Source organism: Homo sapiens, chromosome 6 (assembly GCF_000001405.40).
Source record: "Homo sapiens chromosome 6, GRCh38.p14 Primary Assembly".
Taxonomy (NCBI): Eukaryota; Metazoa; Chordata; class Mammalia; order Primates; family Hominidae; genus Homo; species Homo sapiens.
Window position 1 is genome coordinate 145,872,516 of NC_000006.12, and position 21,590 is coordinate 145,894,105.

General features: G+C 37.1%; 1 protein-coding gene and 1 long non-coding RNA gene across 18 annotated transcripts in view; one reads left to right on the forward strand and one right to left on the reverse strand.

Annotated features, from left to right (window-relative positions):
- Positions 1 to 14,070, forward strand: part of EPM2A-DT (EPM2A divergent transcript) — a 151,717-nt gene extending 137,647 nt beyond the window's left edge. For 2 of the 3 annotated variants that reach the window (NR_038246.1, NR_038245.1), the window contains exon 3: positions 10,690 to 14,070. This is a non-coding gene — a long non-coding RNA (EPM2A divergent transcript). Of the gene's footprint in view, positions 1 to 9,063; positions 9,134 to 10,689 lie in introns of all 3 variants that reach the window. The other variant, NR_038244.1, reaches the window with a different exon arrangement.
- The window catches only part of SHPRH (SNF2 histone linker PHD RING helicase), a 106,521-nt gene that overhangs the window by 14,678 nt on the left and 70,253 nt on the right, over positions 1 to 21,590 (reverse strand). For 3 of the 15 annotated variants that reach the window (NM_001370328.1, NM_001370327.1, NM_001042683.3), the window contains 3 exons: positions 20,700 to 20,878; positions 15,505 to 15,585; positions 12,292 to 14,272 (listed from right to left, as the gene is read on the reverse strand). The exons of 2 other annotated variants lie outside the window; for them this stretch is intronic. In NM_001370328.1, the coding sequence (NP_001357257.1) occupies positions 14,176 to 14,272; positions 15,505 to 15,585; positions 20,700 to 20,878 (357 nt within the window). In that variant the 3' untranslated portion in view covers positions 12,292 to 14,175. Of the gene's footprint in view, positions 1 to 881; positions 9,222 to 10,710; positions 11,501 to 12,291; positions 14,273 to 15,504; positions 15,586 to 20,699; positions 20,879 to 21,590 lie in introns of those variants that run through there. 10 more of the 15 variants (XM_047418600.1, XM_006715439.5, XM_047418601.1 and 7 more) reach the window with 8 other exon arrangements.

Here is a 21,590-nt window from a genome sequence, read left to right on the forward strand (position 1 = left end):
ATTATTAAAAAGTCAAAAAATGACAGATGCTGATGAGGATGTGAAGAAAAAGGAACACTTTAATACTGTTGGTGGGAGTGTAAATTAGTTCAACCATTGTGGAAAACAGTCTGGTGATTCTTCAAAGACAAAGAGGCAGAAATACCATTCTACCCAGCAATCTCATTACTGGTTATATACTCAAAGGAATATAAATCATTTTCTTATAAAGACACATGCACATATATGTTTATTGCAGCACTATTCACAATAGCAGACATAGAATCAACCTAAATGCCTATCAGTGATAGATTGGATAAAGAAAATGTACATATACAACATGGAATACTATGCAGGCATAAAAAGGAATCAGGTCATGTGCTTCGCAGGGACATGGATGGAGCTGGAGGCCATCATCCTTAGCAAACTTACACAGGAACAGAAAACCAAATACTGCATGTTCTCACTTACAAGTGGGAGCAAAATGATGAGAATACATGGACACATGGCGGGGAACAACACACACTAGGGTGTGTTGGAGAGTAGGGAGAGGATCAGGAAGAATAACTATTGGATAATGGGCTTAATACCTGGGTGATAGGATGATCTGTGTAGCAAACCACCATGGCACACATTTACCTATGTAACAAACCTGCATATCCTGCACATGTATCCCTGAACTTAAAATAAAAGTTGGAAATAAAAAAAAAAGAGTGATTATGTCAGGGACTAGGTGGTAGCTGTGGAGATGATGAAAAGTGGTCAGAGTCTAGATGCATTTTGAGGGTGGGCTTGATTGGCTGGTGGATTAGATGTGAAGGATGAGAGAAGAAAAAGGTACTAGGATGACTCTAGAGTTTTTGCCTTGAACAAGAAAAAAGGATGAATGCCATTTACCAAGATTATAGAAAATAGCCAGTCTGTTTATTCTTACACTATCAATTGACACAACTTCCAGTTAATAAGTTCACTTTATTTTCTGAAAGTTACAGGAGAAGACTTTACTGGTTATGACCTTATACTGCTTTAATGGTCATCTGTAGCCAAAATCATGGACATAAATTCTGAGGAGGGTTCCTGGTAAGCCTCCCATTCCTGCTATGAGAAGAAACCAGCATGCCCATGCTTCCCAGCAGCATACTGTAATTGCTAAGTGTCAATGATGATGTCAGTTTTAGTGTCTCAGTAACAGTTGCTAGAGGAAGGAAGGAAGGAAGGAAGGGAGGGAGGGAGGGAGGGAGGGAGGGAGAGGATGAAGAAAAAGAACGAAAAGTTAGAAACTATGTAGTCCCAGCCTCTAGAAGCCAGAGGCATGAGGTCTACTTAGGGTCCTCTTGAGACAGGTGAAGACTTTTCAGTGTCACAAAATTAATATCACAAAGTGATATTATGTTAGTATTATGACATCAAAATGTGTGGGCAGGCTGGGCACAGTGGCTCACGCCTGTAATCCCAGCACTTTGGGAGTCTGAGGCAGGTGGATCACCTGAGGTCAGGAGTTCAAGACCAGCCTGGCCAACATGGGGAAACCCCGTCTCTATTAAAAATACAAAATTAGCGGCGCATGGTGGAGCAAGCCTGTAATCCCAGCTACTTGGGAGGCTGAGGCAGGAGAATCACTTGAATTCAGGAAGAGGAGGTTGCAGTGAGCCGAGATCGTGCCATTGCACTCCAGTCTGGGCAACAAGAGTGAAACTCCATCTCAAAAATAATAAAATAATAATAATAATAATAATAATAATAATGTGTGGGCAGATGTCATCTACACCATAGTTTCAGAATGCAATAAATTCACATTTAAAAACCTTGAAGTACACCGTATCAAAACTTTACTTCATCTTTCATTCTTATGTGATTCAGTTGATAGGCTGGAAGAACAATGAAAGTGAGTTCCATCATGCTGCCTGGTGTCCGTGTCCTTAATGATAAAGACTTTGAGTGTATTTGCAAACTCTCTGTTAATGACAGCATTTTTTTTTATTCTGAGCTTTATTAAGGTATAATTGACATACAAAAATTGTACATATTTAAGGTGTATAATGTAATGTTTTGATATACATATACATTCTGAAATGATTACCAAAATCAAGATAATTAACACATCCATCACCTCATAGTTATCCATTTAGCAAATCCTTTACTAGGTGGCAAAATTGATTTTAAAATCACATTTTTATCCCCTTGAAGTTTTTTCATCTGTAAATTTTCAAGGGCAGTCTTTTAATAGAATACAAACAGCTCATTCCTTATGTGGCTCCAAGCTGGCATTTCAGCATTGGGTTTAAACTTTAGAGCAACATATGAAAATCTCCTGAATAAACTTGTCAATGATTATGGTCATCAAAACTTAGTATGATCAAGGAAACTGGTTTTTGCATAATATTCTGAATATTTAAACTCCACAGAGCTTGAATAAATGAAGTACAAATTAAACATATCGATTTTTTTCTTTTGGTACATGGTCTATGTTATTGCAGATTAGCATCCCAAATCCCAAAATCCCAAATTTGAAATGCTTCAAAACTGAAACCTTTTGAGCACTGATATAAGTCTCAAGGGAAATGCATTTTGGATTTCAGATGCTCAACCAGTAAGCACATAATGCAAATATTAAAAAATCTGAAATCCAAAACACTTCTGGTCCCAAGATATGGGATACTCATCCTGTACCATGGTAAATGGTTAGTTCTTCCTTGGCTTATGCCAGTGGTTCTTGATTTAAGCCCCAGGAGATATTGGAAATTTCTGGAAACATTTTTGGTTGTCAAAGCTTGGGGGTGGAGTATGTTTCTGGCATCTAATGGGTAGAGGCCAGGGATGCTGCTCAATCTTATAATGCATAGGACAGGCCCCAGAAGAAAGAATTGCCTGGCCCAAAATGTCAATCACTAGTGCTGAGGTTGAGAATTCTTGACTTAGGCCATAGCCGTTCCACAGCTCAAGTCACAGTTGCATTCCTTTAGTTGAACCTTACAGTTCAGTTGTTCTACTCAATATTTGAATGCTGAAGGAAGACTGGCCCTCTAGGGTTGTATTTCTAGAACAGGGAGAATGTAGTACTTTGAGGTTGCATGCTTTAGAATTAGTCATTATGTGAGTTGGAAGACCATTTGATTCTTTATTAGAAGTTAGCAAGTGTGCCAGATTAGACCTTCACCCAAGAACGTCATGAGGGTTAATGAGAGGTTTTTAAAAGATAATAGTTATCTTTGTTTCATGTTTAACAACTTTATGCATTGGCTGGTCATTCCAGCTCCACAGAAAGCTCTTCAGTTGAGTTTCAATTACAGCCCGCAATTCCAGATGCTACAACATTTTAACTGTGGCTGCCAGATATCAGTGAGATTCACAGGCCTGGAGTACAACATTCTTTACAATGTGTGCTTCATATTTTGAAGGCCATCTGTCTCATTTTCATCTACAATTGGCTCTGCCGAAGTTTTGCATGCCAAATGATATTTTTTAAAATAAGCTTTTGTGCTACTTTAAAAATGTTTCAAAAATATCTTCGAGATACAATTCACACACCATGAAATTCAGCCATTTAAAGTGTACAAGTCAGTGGTTTTTAGTAGATTCACAAAGTTGTGCAACTATCACTACAGTCTAAATTTAGAACACTTTCATTACTCCATAAAGAAACCCCATGCCCATTAGCAGTCACTCCAGTTCCTCTCCTAGTCCTGGGCAACCACTAATGTAATTTCTGTCTCTAAAGATTTGCCTGTTCTTATGAGGAGTGGCGGTGTACACCTGTAGTCCCAGCTACTTGAGGAGGCCAAGGCAGGAGGATCATTTAAGCCCAGGAGTTTCAGGCTGCAGTGAATTATGATACTGCTACTGCACTCCCATCTGGGTGACAGAGTGAGAACCCATCCTCTAAAAAAAATAAAGATTTGCCTATTCTAGACATTTCTTATAAACAGAAATATACAGTATTTTGGGACTGCTTTTTTTCACTTAGCATAATGTTTTTAAGGTTCATCCATGTTGTAGCATGTATAAGTATTTCATTTCTTTTTTGTCCAAATCATATTCCATTAGAAGTATAACCATATTTGATTTATCCATTTATCGTTTGATAGGCATTTGGGTTGTTTCCACATTTGCCTACTATAAATAATGCTGCTATAAATATTCACATACAAGTTTTTCTGTGAACACATGTTTTCATTTCTCTCCATTATTATTATAGGCTGAACTGTGGCTCCACCAAATTCATAATTTGAAGTCCCAACCCCTAGTATCTCAGGATGTAACTGTATTTAAAGATAAGGTGTGTATAGAGGTGGTTATGCTAAAGTAAAGCTGCTAGGATGGGGGCTCTAATCCCGTATGAATAGTGTCCTTATAAAAAGCCATCAGGGGCCTGTCCGCACAGGGAAACACCATGTGAGGATACAGAAAACAACCATCTGCAAGAAAGGAGAGAGATCTTAGAAGAAAACAGACCTGCCAGCACTGTAATCTTCAACTGCCAGGCTCCAAAACTGTAATAAATAAATTTCTGTTGTTTAATTTACTCAGTCTGTGGTATTTTGTTATGGCAGCTCTAGCAGACTATTACAGGTAAATACCTAGGAGTAGAAATGTTGGGTCATGTGGTAACTCCATTTAACACTCCAGGTACCTGCCAGACTGTTCATATGAGTTTTTGTATGAATATATGTTTTATTTTCTCTTAAGTACATAGGAGTGGCATAGCTGCTAGGTGTACATTTAACTATTTAAGACACGGATAAATGGTTTTCCAAAGCAGCTGTACCATTTTACATTCCTACCAGCAATGTTTGAGGGTTCCAATTTTCTGTATCCTTAACAAAACTTGTTATTGTCTATCTTTTGACTATAGTTCAGGGACTAAGCTCTGATTTTTATCTTGCCCAAATTCCTACCTAAGAGGTCTGGGGAGTCATGTCCTACAAACCATGGATCCTCATCAGATGGCTTTTATTTGACCATGTATATTGTGACTTGCTTTTCAATCTGACTCTGGCGTGACATTATGAGACAAGGAAATAATATTTAGCCCCATAATATATTTCCTTGCCATGCCTCGAAATTGCCCTGCAAAGTCTCTTGTGGGAAAAATCCACATTCCATAGAAAATCTCCTTCCCCTTTTATTTTCTTTCCTTTCTTTGCAGATCCAGTGGATAATCAACTAAGAGCTAGGCATCCTTTTAGATTTGATAAGAAACATTTTACAACCTACCCTCTCTCTGAAGTCTGCCATCTGAGAGATTCTTCTGAACAATAAAACTGGTTCTCCACAATCCTTTATCTTAACCTGAACATTCCTTTCTATTGATCCCAAGTCTTTAGACAAATTCAACCAACTGTCCACCCGAAAATGTTTAAATTTACCTATAGCCTGGAAGGCCCCACTTTGAGTTGTCTCACCTTTCTGAACCAAACCAATGTATTTCTTAAATGTATTTGATTGATGTTTTATGCCTCTCTAAAATATATAAAACCAAGCTGCACCCCGACCACCTTGGGCACATGTTCTCAGGACCACCTGAGGGCTGTGTCACGGGCCAAGGTTGTTCATATTTGACTCAGAATAAATCTCTTCAAATATTTTACAGAGTTTGACTCTTTTCATCTACAAGTCATGTGGTGTAAAGTGATAGCTCATTGTTTTCTAATAGACTATTTTCTACGAAAGTTTTAGGTTCACAGCAAAATTGAGCAGAAAGTACACAGAGTTCTCATATACCCCTGCCTCCCCCCAACCCCATGCACAACCTTTCCTACTATCAATATCCCACATCACAGTTGTACATTTGTTTCAAATTATGACACATCATTATCCAAAGTCCACAGTTTATATTAGGGTCCATTTTTGGTGTTGTACATTCTATGGGTCCAGCAAATGTGTAATGACATATATCCACCCGTGTAGTAGCATACAGAAGGCTCACTGTCCTAAAAATCCCGTTTTGTTTATTCATTCCTTCCTCCTCTCCAAACCTTCATATTTCGGTTTTGATATCTACTTTCCCAGCTGCTAAAGCTGTTGATCATCTTTTCATGTGCTTATTGGTCACTTACATATTATCTTCTTTGGAGAAATGTCTATTCAAATCCTTTGCCCAGTTTTAAATTGGGTTATTTGTCTTTCTGTTGTTGACTATCACTTTTTAAGGTTGAGTTTGCTCCCTGCCAAGGAGGAAAACCCATGACTTTTGTCTACTATGAGAAAAACGCTAATACTTTATTATTCTGGAGAATGGCTTCCTCAGGAATTTCACTGTTCCTTTCTACTTGAGATTCACTAAATGTTAATACAGCCACTTTGTGGTTTCGGAGCAGAGCCATCATTTTTCTTGGCAGCCAGATTTATAGGACTCCAAAAGAAACAACCAGCATTAGGCAGTATTAAATAAAATTTGGAGATAAAAGCTAATCAGTGTGTATAACAATTACTGATATCAAAATCAAGGAATAAGAATCAAATAGCACTTCTTACTGTTCATGGACTTCAAAAGATTTATATGAATTTGGTACTATTAAAACTTCCTCTAAATTTAAATATGAAACAGATGGGAATAATACAGTTACATGAGAAATATTAGTCATTTCTCAGTGCTTATGAGCTGGGTCCCTTTGGTGGACAGTATTTGTGCAAATGTTTTAGTAACTACATGACTCTGCTCTGTTGTGAGCCATAGTTATCATATTTTTATTTATTCTAACCAGTTAAATTACTATTTACTGAACACCCACTGCCTCTTGTACTGAAGTCATTAAATTCTTTGATACATTTTAAAAAAGAAATAGTTGCTTTTTCTCTGTTTACTAACTTTAAAAAAAAAGAAAATAACACCCCCCATTCCTCCTTGTATTTCTTAGTTGGCTGAAGATATTCTGGAACTTAACACCATATATTTTGGGAGAAAGAAAAACAAACCTAAAACAGAAAATACCATAGTTATTTAAATATAGGACTTAAACTCTTGAAGTTTATCTGCACTTAAAAAAATTCTTTCCTTTTCTTAAAATTTTTCAGAAAGGATTTCACTATCTCCTTTGATAGTTTATTCTGCATTCTAAAACTCTCTTTTCTCATGGATAATCAAAACCGATCCTATAGGCGCCTCTTCTGTATTCAGTAGAAAAGGTGACTAGCAGCCGGGTGTGGTGGCTCATGCCTGTAATCCCAGCACTTTGGGAGGCCAAGGCAGGTGGATCTCCTGAGGTCAGGAGTTCGAGACCAGCCTGGCCAACATGGTGAAACCCCGTGTTTACTAAAAATACAAACATTATCTGGGCATGGTGGTGGGTGCCTTGTAATGCCAGCTACTCGGGAGGCTGAGGCAGGAGAATTGCTGGAACCCGGGAGTAGGAGGTTGTGGTGAGCCAAGATCGCACCATTGCACTCCAGCCTGGGTAACGAGTGAAACTCAATCTCAAAAAAAAAAAAAAAAAAAAAAGGAAAAAAGAAAAAAAGAAATGGTGACTAGCTTCCCCCCACCATCTTGATATAATGATGAAATTCTTCACGCCTTCTCTACCCAATGAGGGAGAAAACAAACATGAAAATATTGCAAGACACAAGACTAAGTACTAACATTTGTTGACAATATTAATTTTCTCAATGTTTAGGTTTCTGAAAACAGAACATTTACTGTTGACTTTTTCCCTCATGTTACCAGGTGTATCTCCAAACATTCTAGAAACTTCATGAGATAATAAATTATTATTAAGCCTAAATTAGGTGCTTTATCTACTTTTTGACTGAAAAAATTGAAACATGGAATAAATTCATTATTTAATATTAACATAGGTCTACATTTCCTCTGCAAAATTCTTGACCCATAACTGCCAATTTTAAGATTAAAAATACAGGCTGAGTGCAGTGGCTCATGCCTGTAATCTTAGCACTTTGGGAGGCTGAGGCAGGAGGATCACTTGAGCCCAGGAGTTTGAGACCAGCTTGGGCAACATGGAGAAACCCTGTCTCTACAAAAACTACAAAAATCATCCTAGTGTGGTGGCATGTGCCTGCAGTTCCAGATACCTGGGAGATTGAGGTGGGAAGATCACCAGACCCTGGGAGGTTGAGGCTGCAGTGAGTCATGATCATGCCAATGCACTCCAACGTGGGTAACACAGTGAGATCTTGTCTCAAAGAAAAAAAAAAAAAGTTGAAAAGGAAAGAAAAAAACTTTTCAGGAAGGGTACACATGCAAAGCAAGCCTGGCACGTAATGAGTATAAATTAGAAACTATATAAAATATATACATTACAAAATATAATAAGTTAATGTATATAAAATAGAAAATATACTTTTTTGGTTAATAAAACAAAATGATGTGAGGTTATGAAGAAATTGTATAATTTCTTAATTGGCTTTGAAAGCAATTTCAAGCATCCTAAAAGAGTTTCGAGTGATAAAAACTTAACTAGAATAAAAGCTTCTCACATTCGTAAGAGCAACAATTACTTCTCTTCCAGTGATCTCCAAACTTATTTAATTACATATCTCACCAGTAAAAGGTTTGTGCAACTATATATCCAGTGCACATTTATTTAAAATGTAAATAGGTTATTAGCTATTTCTATTTTAAAGCACGCATAAATTATAGTTGGAGTAAAACAATGTAAAAGATTGTGTTTTTACTTACTAATGGGACAGAATCTTTTTGCTGTTATTAAAACATAGATTTTTAGTTTTTAAATAAAAACAGGCTATGGAATATATTTCATTATTTAAATTCTTTGTTGTTGTTTGTATTAGTCCATTTTCATACTCTTATGAAGAAATCCCCAAGACTGGGTAATTTATAATGAAAAAGAGGTTGAATTAACTTACAGTTCCTCATGGCTGGGGAGGCCTCACAATTAGGGTTGAAGGTGAAGGAGGAGCAAAGGCATGTCTTACATGGTGGCAGGCAAGAGACTTGTGTTGAGCATGTTGTTTTTGTTGACACATATGAAGAAAATCCTAGGGCCCTTCAGACTCCTTGGTCTTGGAGATCCCTAAGGACCACACTTGGAAACTGATGGTCTATGGCAATGGGTCCTTTTAGGCCTTGAATCCCTTTAAGAATCTGACAATATGAAACTCTGTCTCTAGGAAGCTGCTGGAAGGTACACATCTTGGGAGTTTGCCCTTTGAAGCTCACCTGTGGACCTTTTTTCCTTTCGTAAGTCCACTGACTCCAGTTAGGAATGCTTGGTCTGATAAGCGTCCTTTTTATGTAATGATGGTGGATAAACTGCTTTTTCCAATACCTACACATACAGTTTCAAAACCAAGGAGGAAATAAGATTGAAAAAAAGGAAGTAAGGAATAATGGAAGAAAGGAAGGGAAAAAAAGAGAGAATTAAAAGGTGGTTTACTGTAATCCCAGCACGTTGGGAGGCCGAGGCAGGTGGATCGCTTGAACCCAGGAGTTCGAGACCAGCCTGGGCAACATAGCGAAACGCTGTCTCTACAAAAAATTAACCAGGTGTGGTGGTGCATGTCTGTAGTACCAGCTACCTGGGAGGTTGAGGTGAGGAGATCACCTCAGCCTGAGAAGTTGAGGCTGCAGTGAGCGGTCATGGCACCACTACACTTCACCCTGGGTAACAGAGACTGTGTCTCAAAAAAAAAAAAAAGGTGGTTTACTCAGTAGAGATCTTTATCTTGCTTGAAAGGCCAAAGCCATTTTAAGAAGGAAACTTGCTAAATCTTCTCCTGTATGCGTAAATAGTAATCCCTTAAAAATAAATCACTGCATAAACGAGATGACTGCTTGAGTCATCATTAACAACTTATGAAAAAGACAGAAGTGCCTCTTACAGAGGTGTAAAGTATTTATTTGCACCCTATCATGCTGGCAGAAAATCTGGGAAGGCAAATCTGAGTGCAGGGTAGAAAATGGTCAGTTGCAGAATATAAACATTAACATGATTATAATTACGGACTTGAGAAGTGAAAAGCACTGGGGAAGTTTTAGGTAAATACAACATTCCACACTGATGCTTTCACAGTTTAATAGCGGATTCACTTATAAACATTCTGATAAAGATCAGAAACTAAAATGCATTCCTGTTTAAAACACAGATTTGCATTTACCAAAGAAGACATAATTCTGTGACAAAGGAAAATACACTCAACATTATCAACAGGCAATGATGCTCTCAGTCAATGGAAATTTTTACAAAGGCTCTGGAAAAATAACTGGAGATAGCAGTTGTTTGATTATGGGAAGCCAAGAGATCAGAAGAGGCATGAGGTGCCTTACGGTTCTGGGTAAAGAATTAGGGACATGATGCAGTAAATGTTAATTAAATAGTCTTGGCAGAAAATGACCACAGGTAATTTCAGTAAGTATATCCTAAATAAATAATAAAATATGCAGAAACGATTTCTAAGGAAATTTGAGCACAAATGTTTGCTCATTAGAACACTGGAAGGGTCAGTAATCAGAACTGTGTGCATATACAAATCACAGGTCTGGGAAGATCCCATAGGTCGAAAATGTGTCCTTGGACAAATGGCTCCTCTAATAGGCTATCTACGGGGGTGTGGAGCATTAAGAGCAGGTTTACTGGAGAGACAAAGATAACAATAGGGTTTGGAAAGGCAGACCATTTAAAAAAGGCTGATTTTTTGATAAGCAGGGAAAAAGTTATTAATTTTAGTAATAGTAGTGACCTATATAAAGATCATTATACAGATAATGGAGGCTGTTTTTTAATTTCTATTTTGCAGGAAAAGAAGCATAAGCTGCAATAAAAATTTGGTTTCAAGATAACAAAGTCAGTCCCCAAAAATCAGTATTGAGAGTCACTGACATTAAATGATGAAGATACGAGGATGGTGTGGGGACCTTTACTCTTCGAAGATGAGCTATACATGCCCCTGAAAAGGCTGTCTGAAGACAGGGGAAGGCTGGAGATGGCAACTTTGGCCTCTGCCAAGTACTCGTGCTATTTTCTGTATGTGATACTATCTGTTTTGTAACTCAGAGGCAACACCACATACCTAGCATAAGGCTTGAACTCCCTTTGGGGTTATCAATTACTTACATAGCCTTCCTCTAAGGGAAGGCTTGCAAGTGGTTCATATTCGACCCTTCCATGTGATAAGCATTCATGTGGGCTTCACAATGTAACAGAGGTACACAGAGATTCTTGTAAACAGAAAATTTTATAAAACTGTTAACTGATCTCACTTTGAAGAAGTCTTACTGACTAGATGTCATTTATCAGAGTAGACAGGCTTAAAATGCATTGCTTGTACTAGACTGTTGTAATGCATTTTTTTGTTTTTGCATTGGTTTTTAATTCATTTAATTGGTTTACACTCATTTTTTTTTTTACATTCCATTTTTGCATTTGTATGCCAGTTAAAAATTATGAAATGGCACATTGTGGGATTTTGTTTAGCTAAATTCTAGAAAAATTGAAAGATACCTTTTATTCGACTTAAGCCTGAGGTTATTCAGCACGGTGATCTCTGCATTTTTGAAAGGTTGTCTCGTCGTTTAATAAACGTAAATAACTTAAGCACATTGGAAGAGCTATTAAATGAGAGCAGGAGATTAAAAAGACATGATTTCTTACTTTATCCACCTGACAGGATAGCTTGCATTGGTGATTAACCTTGCATTGTTAAATTCATTTCCTAAATATTTAGGTAAGTAGTTGGTTTGATCATTATTTGTAAAGTATTAGTAGTTGCATGTTGAATTATCATGTTAAGATTTTTAGTTTGTTGTTCATGTGATATGAAAGATAACAATTCCTAAAACTGAATGCATGCATGGCTTATTCAGCTCAGGTCACATACAAAGAGAAATGTGACGCTGCAATAAACATAGCAGAGCTATCTGGGTTTGAAGCAAAAAGGCTATGACGTTAGGTATATGCACTTTACATTGTATGTATCTTTTTAGTTCTAGTGAACTCATCTGGAATCATGTTACAGAAAATGATTCTCCAGGTCCAAACACATTTAAGTTTAATGACTGGGACTACTCTAACAATTGCGGCTATCTCATTTTGTCTCATTGGTTCATTAGCATAGCACCCATTTAAGAACAACTACTTCTAAACACAGTAATATTTCAGAGGCTATAAAATAATAGAGAAAGAAAACTTAAAAAATCCTTTGTTTGCAGCCAAGAAAATGTGAGGATCAGATTTGTACTTGTTTTGAACAATTGGAAACTGTCACAATTGTTTTTAAGATGTAATAAATGTATATAAAATATGGGATTCTATAGTATTAGCCATTTTGATATCTTTTGTTGAAAGAAAAAACCAAAAAACCCCATATGTTCTAAGTCTCAGAAATCAAAGAATTCCACAATTTTCATTTCCACTAAAATATTTATTTAATGGATATCTTACAGAAATAAATAAAAACAGTTTTTGTCTAATACAGATAGGTTTTTTTATATATATGTAATTTGATTTTACAAAATTGAAGCATATCAAATTGTTTTCTCTAAAACATAGCTCAGAAAGGAATAGTAGAAAACAAACACAAAGAAATACTGAAATAGTCTCATTTTTAAATTATAAGCATGGGCCTTCTGAATCTCAGCATGACATGTTATTAGTAAAAGAATGTAAGATATGGAGTCAGGGGACCTGGGCTCCACTGTTTACTTGCTACATGTCCTAAGAAAGTTTCAATATATCTGAACTTCAGTTCTCTACCTTTAAAACAGTAAAGATATTAATTATATCAACTTCACAAGATTGTTGGGTAAATTAAACACGTAAATGTACATGAAAGCTCTTTTTAATATGTGAAGAGCTATAAAAATAACAGTTTGATTTAATTTCATATAAAAGAATCAATGGATACCTCCTTTTAACTGAAGAATAAGCACCAAAAGCATGTGTGTGTTTTCTTCAGTTGAATTACATCACTCTATAAACCTAGAGTAAGAAAATGCACCTTAACTAAGCACCAAAGCCTCTCGGACAAATGGGATCTAGGGAATGGTTCTATGAGTTTTCCAGGCAGCTAACTGGGAGCTAATAAGTCCTGAGGGTCAAAGAGGGTCCTTTAAAACTCTGAAGGCTCAAAGAAAAGGAAGCCAAATAAGAACATTTGTATTACATCAAATGGCTAGGATGTAACAAGCTACTCCTTATTCAGCAATTTCAAAGTCCATTAATTCCTCACAGAAGAAGAAACACTTCGTTATTATCACTTGCAACGATTTGCTTATGTGAACATGGCATTCTCTTGTTCAAAAGGTCAAAGACTCGTGCTTAAGGGAGGAACAACTGGAGTGAAATAACAACTCTACCATGAATTCAGATATCACTGGCTAAAAAGTCTAGTTACACAAGAACATGGGAAAGAAAAAGAATCCAAGACATCAGTATAATAATGATTAAAAAAAAAACCCTGCCATATTTCCATGTTATAATAAAACAAAATCATAAAAACTGCAATATTTACAGATACATCAATCTTACAACATATAAAAACTTTAACAATAAGAAAAATTAAGAGTAGGGAAAGCAGATAATTTTAAGGTAATCATTAATACATTAAAAAATCTATTTGGAGTTAACTGTTTACACTAACACCACTTTACACATAATAGAAATATGAATATTTTCATTGTTTTTGTTTTCAGTAGCAAGATGCAGAAGAAACAAATAACTGTCTAACATTAACTTATTGTAAGGAGTTGTATTACTGCAAAATTACTAGGTGTAAAGTTATGGTATAAGCCTACTCAAAAAATGGGTTAATATAATTCACCATCTACTTAAAATATTACTAACAAGATATTGGTGAATCATGTGCTAAAGATACTGAAGGCCCTTCCAAAACTGAGATCTATGTTTGTTCAATATACCAGGTCATATAAAACTAGACTAGTTTACTTTCTTATTCCAACTGTTTTATGAGTGATCTTATCATAAGAAAAGTACACATTACCTCTCTTAATTCCCTTGCATCATCAGATATAGATACTATTTGGGACAAAAAATAAATGTTTTATTAGGAGTGTAAAATTAAGAATCTTTATAGATCTTTTGGAAACAGTATATTGAAAAGGACTCAATAAGTACTAAGCCACTGTATAACCAGAACAATAAACAAATTCATTCAACTAGGAACAGTGTTACTGTTATCTACTGGGTTTTTAAAACTTGTAACTTTGCTCTACAGCTATGAAAGTTTATTAATACACTAAAGTCCATGGAATGAATCAAGTGTAGTTCATTCAAGCTCTTCAGTTTCTTTGGTAAATAGGTCTGCCAGGTCAGCCACAGTCAAGACAGAGGCCTCTGAATGCTTTGCTGATGAGTTCGTGTGACTGCAAGGTTTCCCAAATGAGCACAGTCAGAAAGAAACCCCAAGCCATCAGCGATTATATTTGTAGTAATACGAACTAGACACATATTTTTTCTTAAGTTTTTGTAATTGGGATATAAGAAACTCCCAGAGGAAAGCAAGTGATAAAATCTTTGTTATACCTTGTCAAAGTGAAGATTTCTATATATTACTTTTAGTGTTTGTCAAAGTGTTTTTTCTCTGTGCAATTAATAGAACAAAGAATAAAACTCTTGACTACTGCTACTAAGGCTCTCACCTTACAAATTACCTTCTTACCACCTGAAGTTAATTTGTTTCAAGAGAATTTCAAACAACTCATAACTGCTATTTTATTAAAACAACCTAAATAAAAATCACTGAAGTCTGATACACAAGGAAAACAAGAACTTTAAAAAGCCTTCATGTTTTAGGTAAAAAGGCCCTTGTGGAAGCCTCTTTCCTTCCCAGAAACCATCAATGGAAGAAAATTTCTAGTTTCAAATTGCTTCTTTGCTATGTGACAATCCCTTCTAAGGCAATAATCTCTTCCTTGGGTACCATCCAATCCTACCTACCTCCTAAAGATGTAGAAAGATTTATGTTTTCAAAAAGATTTAAATAAATTATACCATAAATATTAGAAAGTTCTATGATTCCAGAGTCAAGCTTTTAAAATTAAGACTGGTTTAGTCTCTCTGCTTTTGTTTTGTCTTTGGATTGACACCACAATTAACCTTAACAAGTTTGTTTTTTTTTTTTTTTTTTTTGAGACACAGACTCGTTCTGTTGCCCAGGCTGGAGTGCAGTGGCACGATCTTGGCTCACTGCAACCTCCACCTCCGGGGTTCAAGCGATTCTCCTGCTTCAGCCTCCCGACTAGCTAAGACTATGGTGCGTGTCACCATGCCTGGCTAATTTTTGTGTTTTTAGTAGAGATGGGGTTTCACCATGTTGGCCAGGCTGGTTTCGAACTCCCAGCCTCAGAAAGTGATCCAATGTGGCAAAGGAATGTAGTATAGTTTATATTTACATGTTACAATTAATAAATTAATTCAAATATACAAAGTCTGGAGCACTGACTGGGAAACAGTGAAAAGGCAAAACGTCAGACTTTGCTTTTAAAAACGTATTTGTGCTATATTTTTCGTTGTCATCTAAGTGAAGAAGTTCTAAAGATACAAACTTTTAACAGGAAAACCTTCCCCCTTCTACTTGTGGTAAATTATTACCTACCTTCTCTCAGCAGTTTTCAGCATTGCCTGCATTCTTTCTTCTATTGTTGCTTTAATTAAGAATCTGTGTACAATAGTAGGTCTAAAAGGTACAGAAGAATTTTAAGCTTAAAAACATAGTAAAACAAATCAGTACAAACCGACTTCACATTTTATATGCTATATTCATCAGTCAGTTGGTGCCCACTTGTGGCAGGTGCTGGGAGGGGTTCAGCAGCGAATAAAATGAACTATTTAATCTCCATGAGCTGACATTCTAATGAGAGACAGACAATAAACACATAAAAGAGTAAGACGGTTTCAGGTAAATATAATGCTGGGAGAACAGGCTGACATGCAAACTGAAAAAAGAGTGATGGGAATGAGGCCAGTAGGCAAAGGAGGAGTAGGAAGAATATCCAAACAGAAGAAACAGCACATACATACACAGTCCCCGGGAAGGGAATATGCCTGGAACAAGCCTAACATGTTCAAGAGGCCAAAAGAAGGCTGGCATGGCAGAAGCATCCTGTAAGCGAGGGAGAGAGGTGAAAATAAGGGTGGAGAGATGTGCAGGGGCCAGGTCACACAGGGCCTTCCAGGATGTGACCAAGCATTTGAATTTTATCGTGGTTATAATGGGAAGCCCTTGGTGGGTTTGTATGCATGATTTGATGTATACCTGACTGTACTTTAGAAATCCCTTTGGCAACCGTGTGGAGGATGTACTTCTTGCTCAGCAAGAAGAGCACCAGAGAAGCCAGTTAAGAAGTCCTGTAGTCATCTGGGTAAGTAAGGGTGGATGCACTATGGTTGTGTCAGTGGAGATAGCAGTCAAGTAGATTTGGAATATCTTTTGGAGGTAGAGCTGACAAAACTTAAAAGATGACTGGCATGTGAGATGTGAAAAGAAAAATATAGAAGAGTCCGAGATTTCTGATCTGGGCAGGAACAGATGACAGTGCCACATTATAAGATGGGGAAAGCTCAGGGTGGGAGTGAGAGTGCAGAAGCAACACAGTTTTGTTTTGTCCATGTGAAACCTATCAGATACCTATTAGACAGGTATCCAAGGTGAGTCCAGAGATATGTGTGCAGAGCTAGAACTGGATATATGCACCTGGGACAGGAGCTATATGGGCATGTCTGGGCTGGGGGATATACACCTGAGAGTCATCAACCTGTAAAAGCTACCTAAAGCCCTAAGACTGGAAAAATTCATCGAAGGGGTGTAGACAAAGAACCCTCAGACCACTGGCAAGAAGTAGGTCACTAGAAATGTTATAAGTCTCACTTCAGTGATATGGTGGGGAGAAAATCAACCAGACAGGTTGACAGAGAATGGGGGATAAAAAAGTAGAGATGGAGGTAGGATGTATCAGAGTGTTTTTTTCTTTCTAAAGATGGATAATATTAAGACATATTTATGGGGTAATATATGACAGGTTGAGTATCCCTAACCAAAAACCCAAAATCCAAAACTTTTTGAGTGCCAACGTGACAAGTGGAGGATTCAACACCTGACTTCACGTGATGAGTCACAGTCAAAACACATTAAAAACGTTGTTTTGTGCACAAAATTATTTAAAATATTATATAAAATCACCTTCAGGCTATGAGTAGAATTTGTATATGAAACATAAATAAATTTCATGTTTAGACTGGGGTTTCATTCCTAAGATATCTCACTATGTATATGCAAATATTCTAAAATCTGAAAAAATCCTACAGGCAAAACACTTGAAGCATTTCAGTTAAGGGATGCTCAACCTGTACAAGGGAAATGTACACCTGTCCTTGAAAAATGAGAAAGAATGGAGTCCAGGACAAATGAATGGATGGCTTTTGAAAGAAAAGGGACACTTCTGCTGTAATAAAAGGGAAGGCATATGAGGTACTTTCCTGCTTATTACTGGATGACATATCCATGCTTCTGCCTACTACCAACCCCTTCCTCCACTTCAGTGTTTGATCCCATATCCTCTTGCCTACTCAAGGACATTGTCAAGCATTCTCCCTGTTCTCCTTCACTAGTTTTTGTTGTCTCTAATGAATCATTTTCTTACTAATTCTCCCATTTGAAAGGAAAACAAAAACCTCTCTTGATCTCATTCTCTTCCTTTTCTCTGCAGCAAAACTCCTCAAAATACTGGCCTTACCAGCCACACAGAAGCAGCAGTGCACTGTGGTTAAAGCTTGTACTGTGAAGGCAGAATGGCTGTGCCTGAAATCTGCCACTGCTTCTACTAGCTGCCTGACTATGGGCAAGTTACCTAACCTCTCTTTGTTATACAAATATTTGTTAAATAAGAAATACACAAAATCCCATTTTCTCCAAAACTAAAGTCAGGCTGTCACCTCTACCACTTAACCTGGTTTTGATCTCCATGTTGCTAAATCTAATGATCAATTCTCAATCCTTATCTTCCTTGACATTTTTCATAGCACTTGAAACAGGTGACCATAACCTCTTCTTTGAGGTACATTTTTCACTTGGTTCCTAGGACACTCCTGTCTTCTGGTTTTCTTCCTAACTCACTGTTTGATCTTTATTTGTTACCTTTGCTGCTTCCTTCTCCTCTCCTAGAACAGCTGAACTTTGGTGCCCTGGAGTTCAGTCCATGGTCCTCTATCTAAACTCTGTCTCTATCTAAACTCACTCCTAGGTAATCTCATTCAGTCTCGTGACTTAATGGACTTGTACATCTAGTTACAGAATAGAAATCTCCATTTGGATGTCTGTTCTTCCCTTACCAAATCTGCTCTACCCTGTAGACTTCTCCAGCTCAGTTGAAGGTTACTTCATCCTTCTAGTTGTCCAAGCCAAAACCCATGGTGTTATCCTTGACCCTCTCATACCCCATGTCTAGTCTGTCCAAAAGTACTATCAGTTCTATCTTCAAAATATATCCAGAACCTGACCACTCCTCATCATGTGCACTGCTACTGCCATGGTCAGGTCACCTTCAGCTCTCACCAGGATGACTGCAATAGCCTCCAAGACTCTCCCTGCTTCTACTCTTCCTTGCTCCCCTTCACTCCCACCCTATCACAGCACTCAGAATGATTCTTTTAAAACTTAAGTGAGATATGCCAAGCCTCTGTTCAAAGCCTTCCAATGGCTCCCGATTTCACACAGGGCAAAAGCACCATCCTCACAGTGGCTTCCTGGGCCCAATGTAATCCCTCTCCCCACTGAGCCCATTCACTTCAACTCCTGCTTCTCTCCCTTTTAGCAACTGTAGCTCCTTGCTATTCTTCTAACATACCACACTCCTGATTTAGGGCCTTTGCACCGAAAGCACTGTTTACTTGAACATTCTTTCACAAGATAGCTGCATGACTAACTTTCCCATTTTCCCATTTCTTTCAAGTCCTTGCTCAGACTTTCTCAATAAGGCCTTGCATGCCTTCCTGCCCAAACATTGCACTTTTACTTCCTCACCCTGCTCTACTTTTCCAGCTCCTAACATAGTCCAGATTGTACTTAGTTTATTGTTTACCACCTTTCTGTCTACCAACCCCATTACAGCTAGAATCGCACTCCATGAGGACATCTCATGTTCCTAAAACAGTGCCTGGCACACAGAAGATACTCAATAAAAATCTACCAAAAAGTATGTGAGTACTGATGCAGGCAGACTGTTCAAGTTGATGATGGAAAGATGAGGTACTTCTAATCTGATTGTATATGTTTCCCCTGTATGAGGCAAGATCGCCATGGGGAGGAAGAAGACACACTTAAGACAGACTCCTCAGAAAGTAGAAAAAAACATATTGACTTGCGAGGCATAGTAAGATTGTTGGGTAATGCTGAATGGCCTTTTGGACTCGTGGTTTTAAATATGAGACTAGTCCAGCCTATGCTTTAAAAGAACATTGGTAGGACAAAAAATCAATATTTAAAAACACAGAAGAAAACCAACAAAAAACAAGTAAGACATGACTGCATTTTAAATGCCACTTGGTGGTATGTTAGAACAAGCCCGCATTTATTACAGTTACTTTGCCCTATTTGTTAAGAGGTTTAATAAACATGTCTCTTTCCTGTTTTCAAGTAAGCCCTTTATTTTCTCTCCCCGCTACTTCTTACGGGGCAGTCTACATTTCTGAGTATGACACAGAAGACTTCATCTCCTGCCGATGATCTCTTTCTCATACTTTATACTGCAACAATTCCAAACTCCTTACAGTCCCTAGAAATGTCATGTCATTTCCCACCATTGTATTTTTGCATATATAACTCTCTTTGGCTGTGTGAATACCCTTTTCCAGCCAACTTTGAAATAATTATTCCTTCAAGACTTAACACCATAAAGTCTTTCCTGACTCTGTAGGGCCCGAGTGATCATTATCTTCTTTTGTTAACACAGTCCTTTTATTATTATACTTTTGCACATTCTACCCCAACACTTTAAGTCATGCTTCCTGTACTACACAGTGACCTCCTTGGGGAAATAAATTATGTATCATTCAATTTGAATCTTCAGTATTTAGAATAATGCCTGACATACAGTAGGTGCTCAATAAATACTGATTTAGTAAGTGCTTATTATGGATGTGTTTTTTTTTCCTTTTTTAAACATCAAAGACTTCTAACATCCAGAAGGTAATACATTTAGCAGGCCTTATCAAAGATAACTGTCTATTCTGATATATGAATAAAGGTAATACATGCCATATAATAATATTCATTATTAGGTTTGCTTTGGGCCTTAAACTGAATCTAATGATCTCTTGGAGCTGACCTAGGGGGTGTCTTTTCCTAATGTTAAGAATTTTAAAAGGAGCCATTTATTTTCAGTCATGTACAAGGTATGTCTTCTTTTAAACACGGGACTACTTTAGACAATCAAAACTCCATTCTCCTCAAAGGCATGATGGATGCCTTCAACTTTGTAGCTGTCTTAAGTATTTCTAACAAGCTTTTTTTTGGATAAAGTGATAAGGTTTTTGTGGGAGGGAAGAAAAAAATTGGGACAATTTGGGGGTTTGCTTCTTGGAGAGAAGGGAGGGTTGGAAATCTCATGCCTTTCAATTAAATAATTAAAAAGTTATAAATAAATAAGTTATAAAATAAATAATTAAAAAATGTAGTATCTAAGGAAGTAATTAAAAACAAGTACGCTATGATGAACATAAATGAAGAGTTTAAATACTGATTTGGTTTCTCAGAAAACTGAAGCAAATGTGACTGATTCTAATTTTAGTCCTTACTTTGTCTGTCCAATTCGGTGCACCCTCCCTATGGCCTGAAGCTCATGGGCAGGGTTCAATATGGGCTCCACCAAGAGAACATGAGTTGCTTCAATGATAGTTAATCCATTAGAACCTGTGTGCAGGGGCAGCAGCAAAATATTGATTTGGGGATCACGTTTAAATGCTGAAAGGTTCTCCTAAAAAAGAAAGGTACATTTTAATTTTAGCTCGATCAGTTAAAATAAGAGCAGTATGTAATAGCTCACTTTAAAGATGTCTAATGCTATCTATTACTATTGTGAAAGGTAACAGCTAAGAAACTTAAATGCAAAATTACCAACTTTAGAAAATGTAAACTTGTCGCTTGATTTTAATTATGAAGAAAAGTATCATATAAGCTCTCTTGTTCTTCGTAATATCTAGAGGAATCACAAGACAGATGCATGTAATGCATGCAAATTAAACTACATGAGGTTAGAGGAAAAAGAGAAAAAGAATGTGCTAGAGTGAATGTGAGATAAGAGACATGAATCTGCTAAATTTTCATTTGGTCTCTGTGTGTGCCTGAGGTCATACGCCTGTCACTGTGCTGAGCATGATGTAAGGATAACTGTGACCACATGCAGTTCTGCCTGACAGTGACTTTAGAAACTAATCCTTGGGGTGTGAGGCCCCTGTCCATTCAAAAGGTATATCATAGGCAATCTTTTCCTGTACTAAAAAAAAAAAAGAACCTCAAGTTGGGAGATCTTTAAAAAACCAATGGTCTTGTTATATACTGAAAATACCTGCAGTCTCTGCTTTTAAATGTTCACTTTATAATTAATCAAGAACTCAGACCCTGTTTATGTGGCTTATATGGCATGAGACAATAAATGTAAGTAAGCTAGTTAACAGCAGTTTAAATTT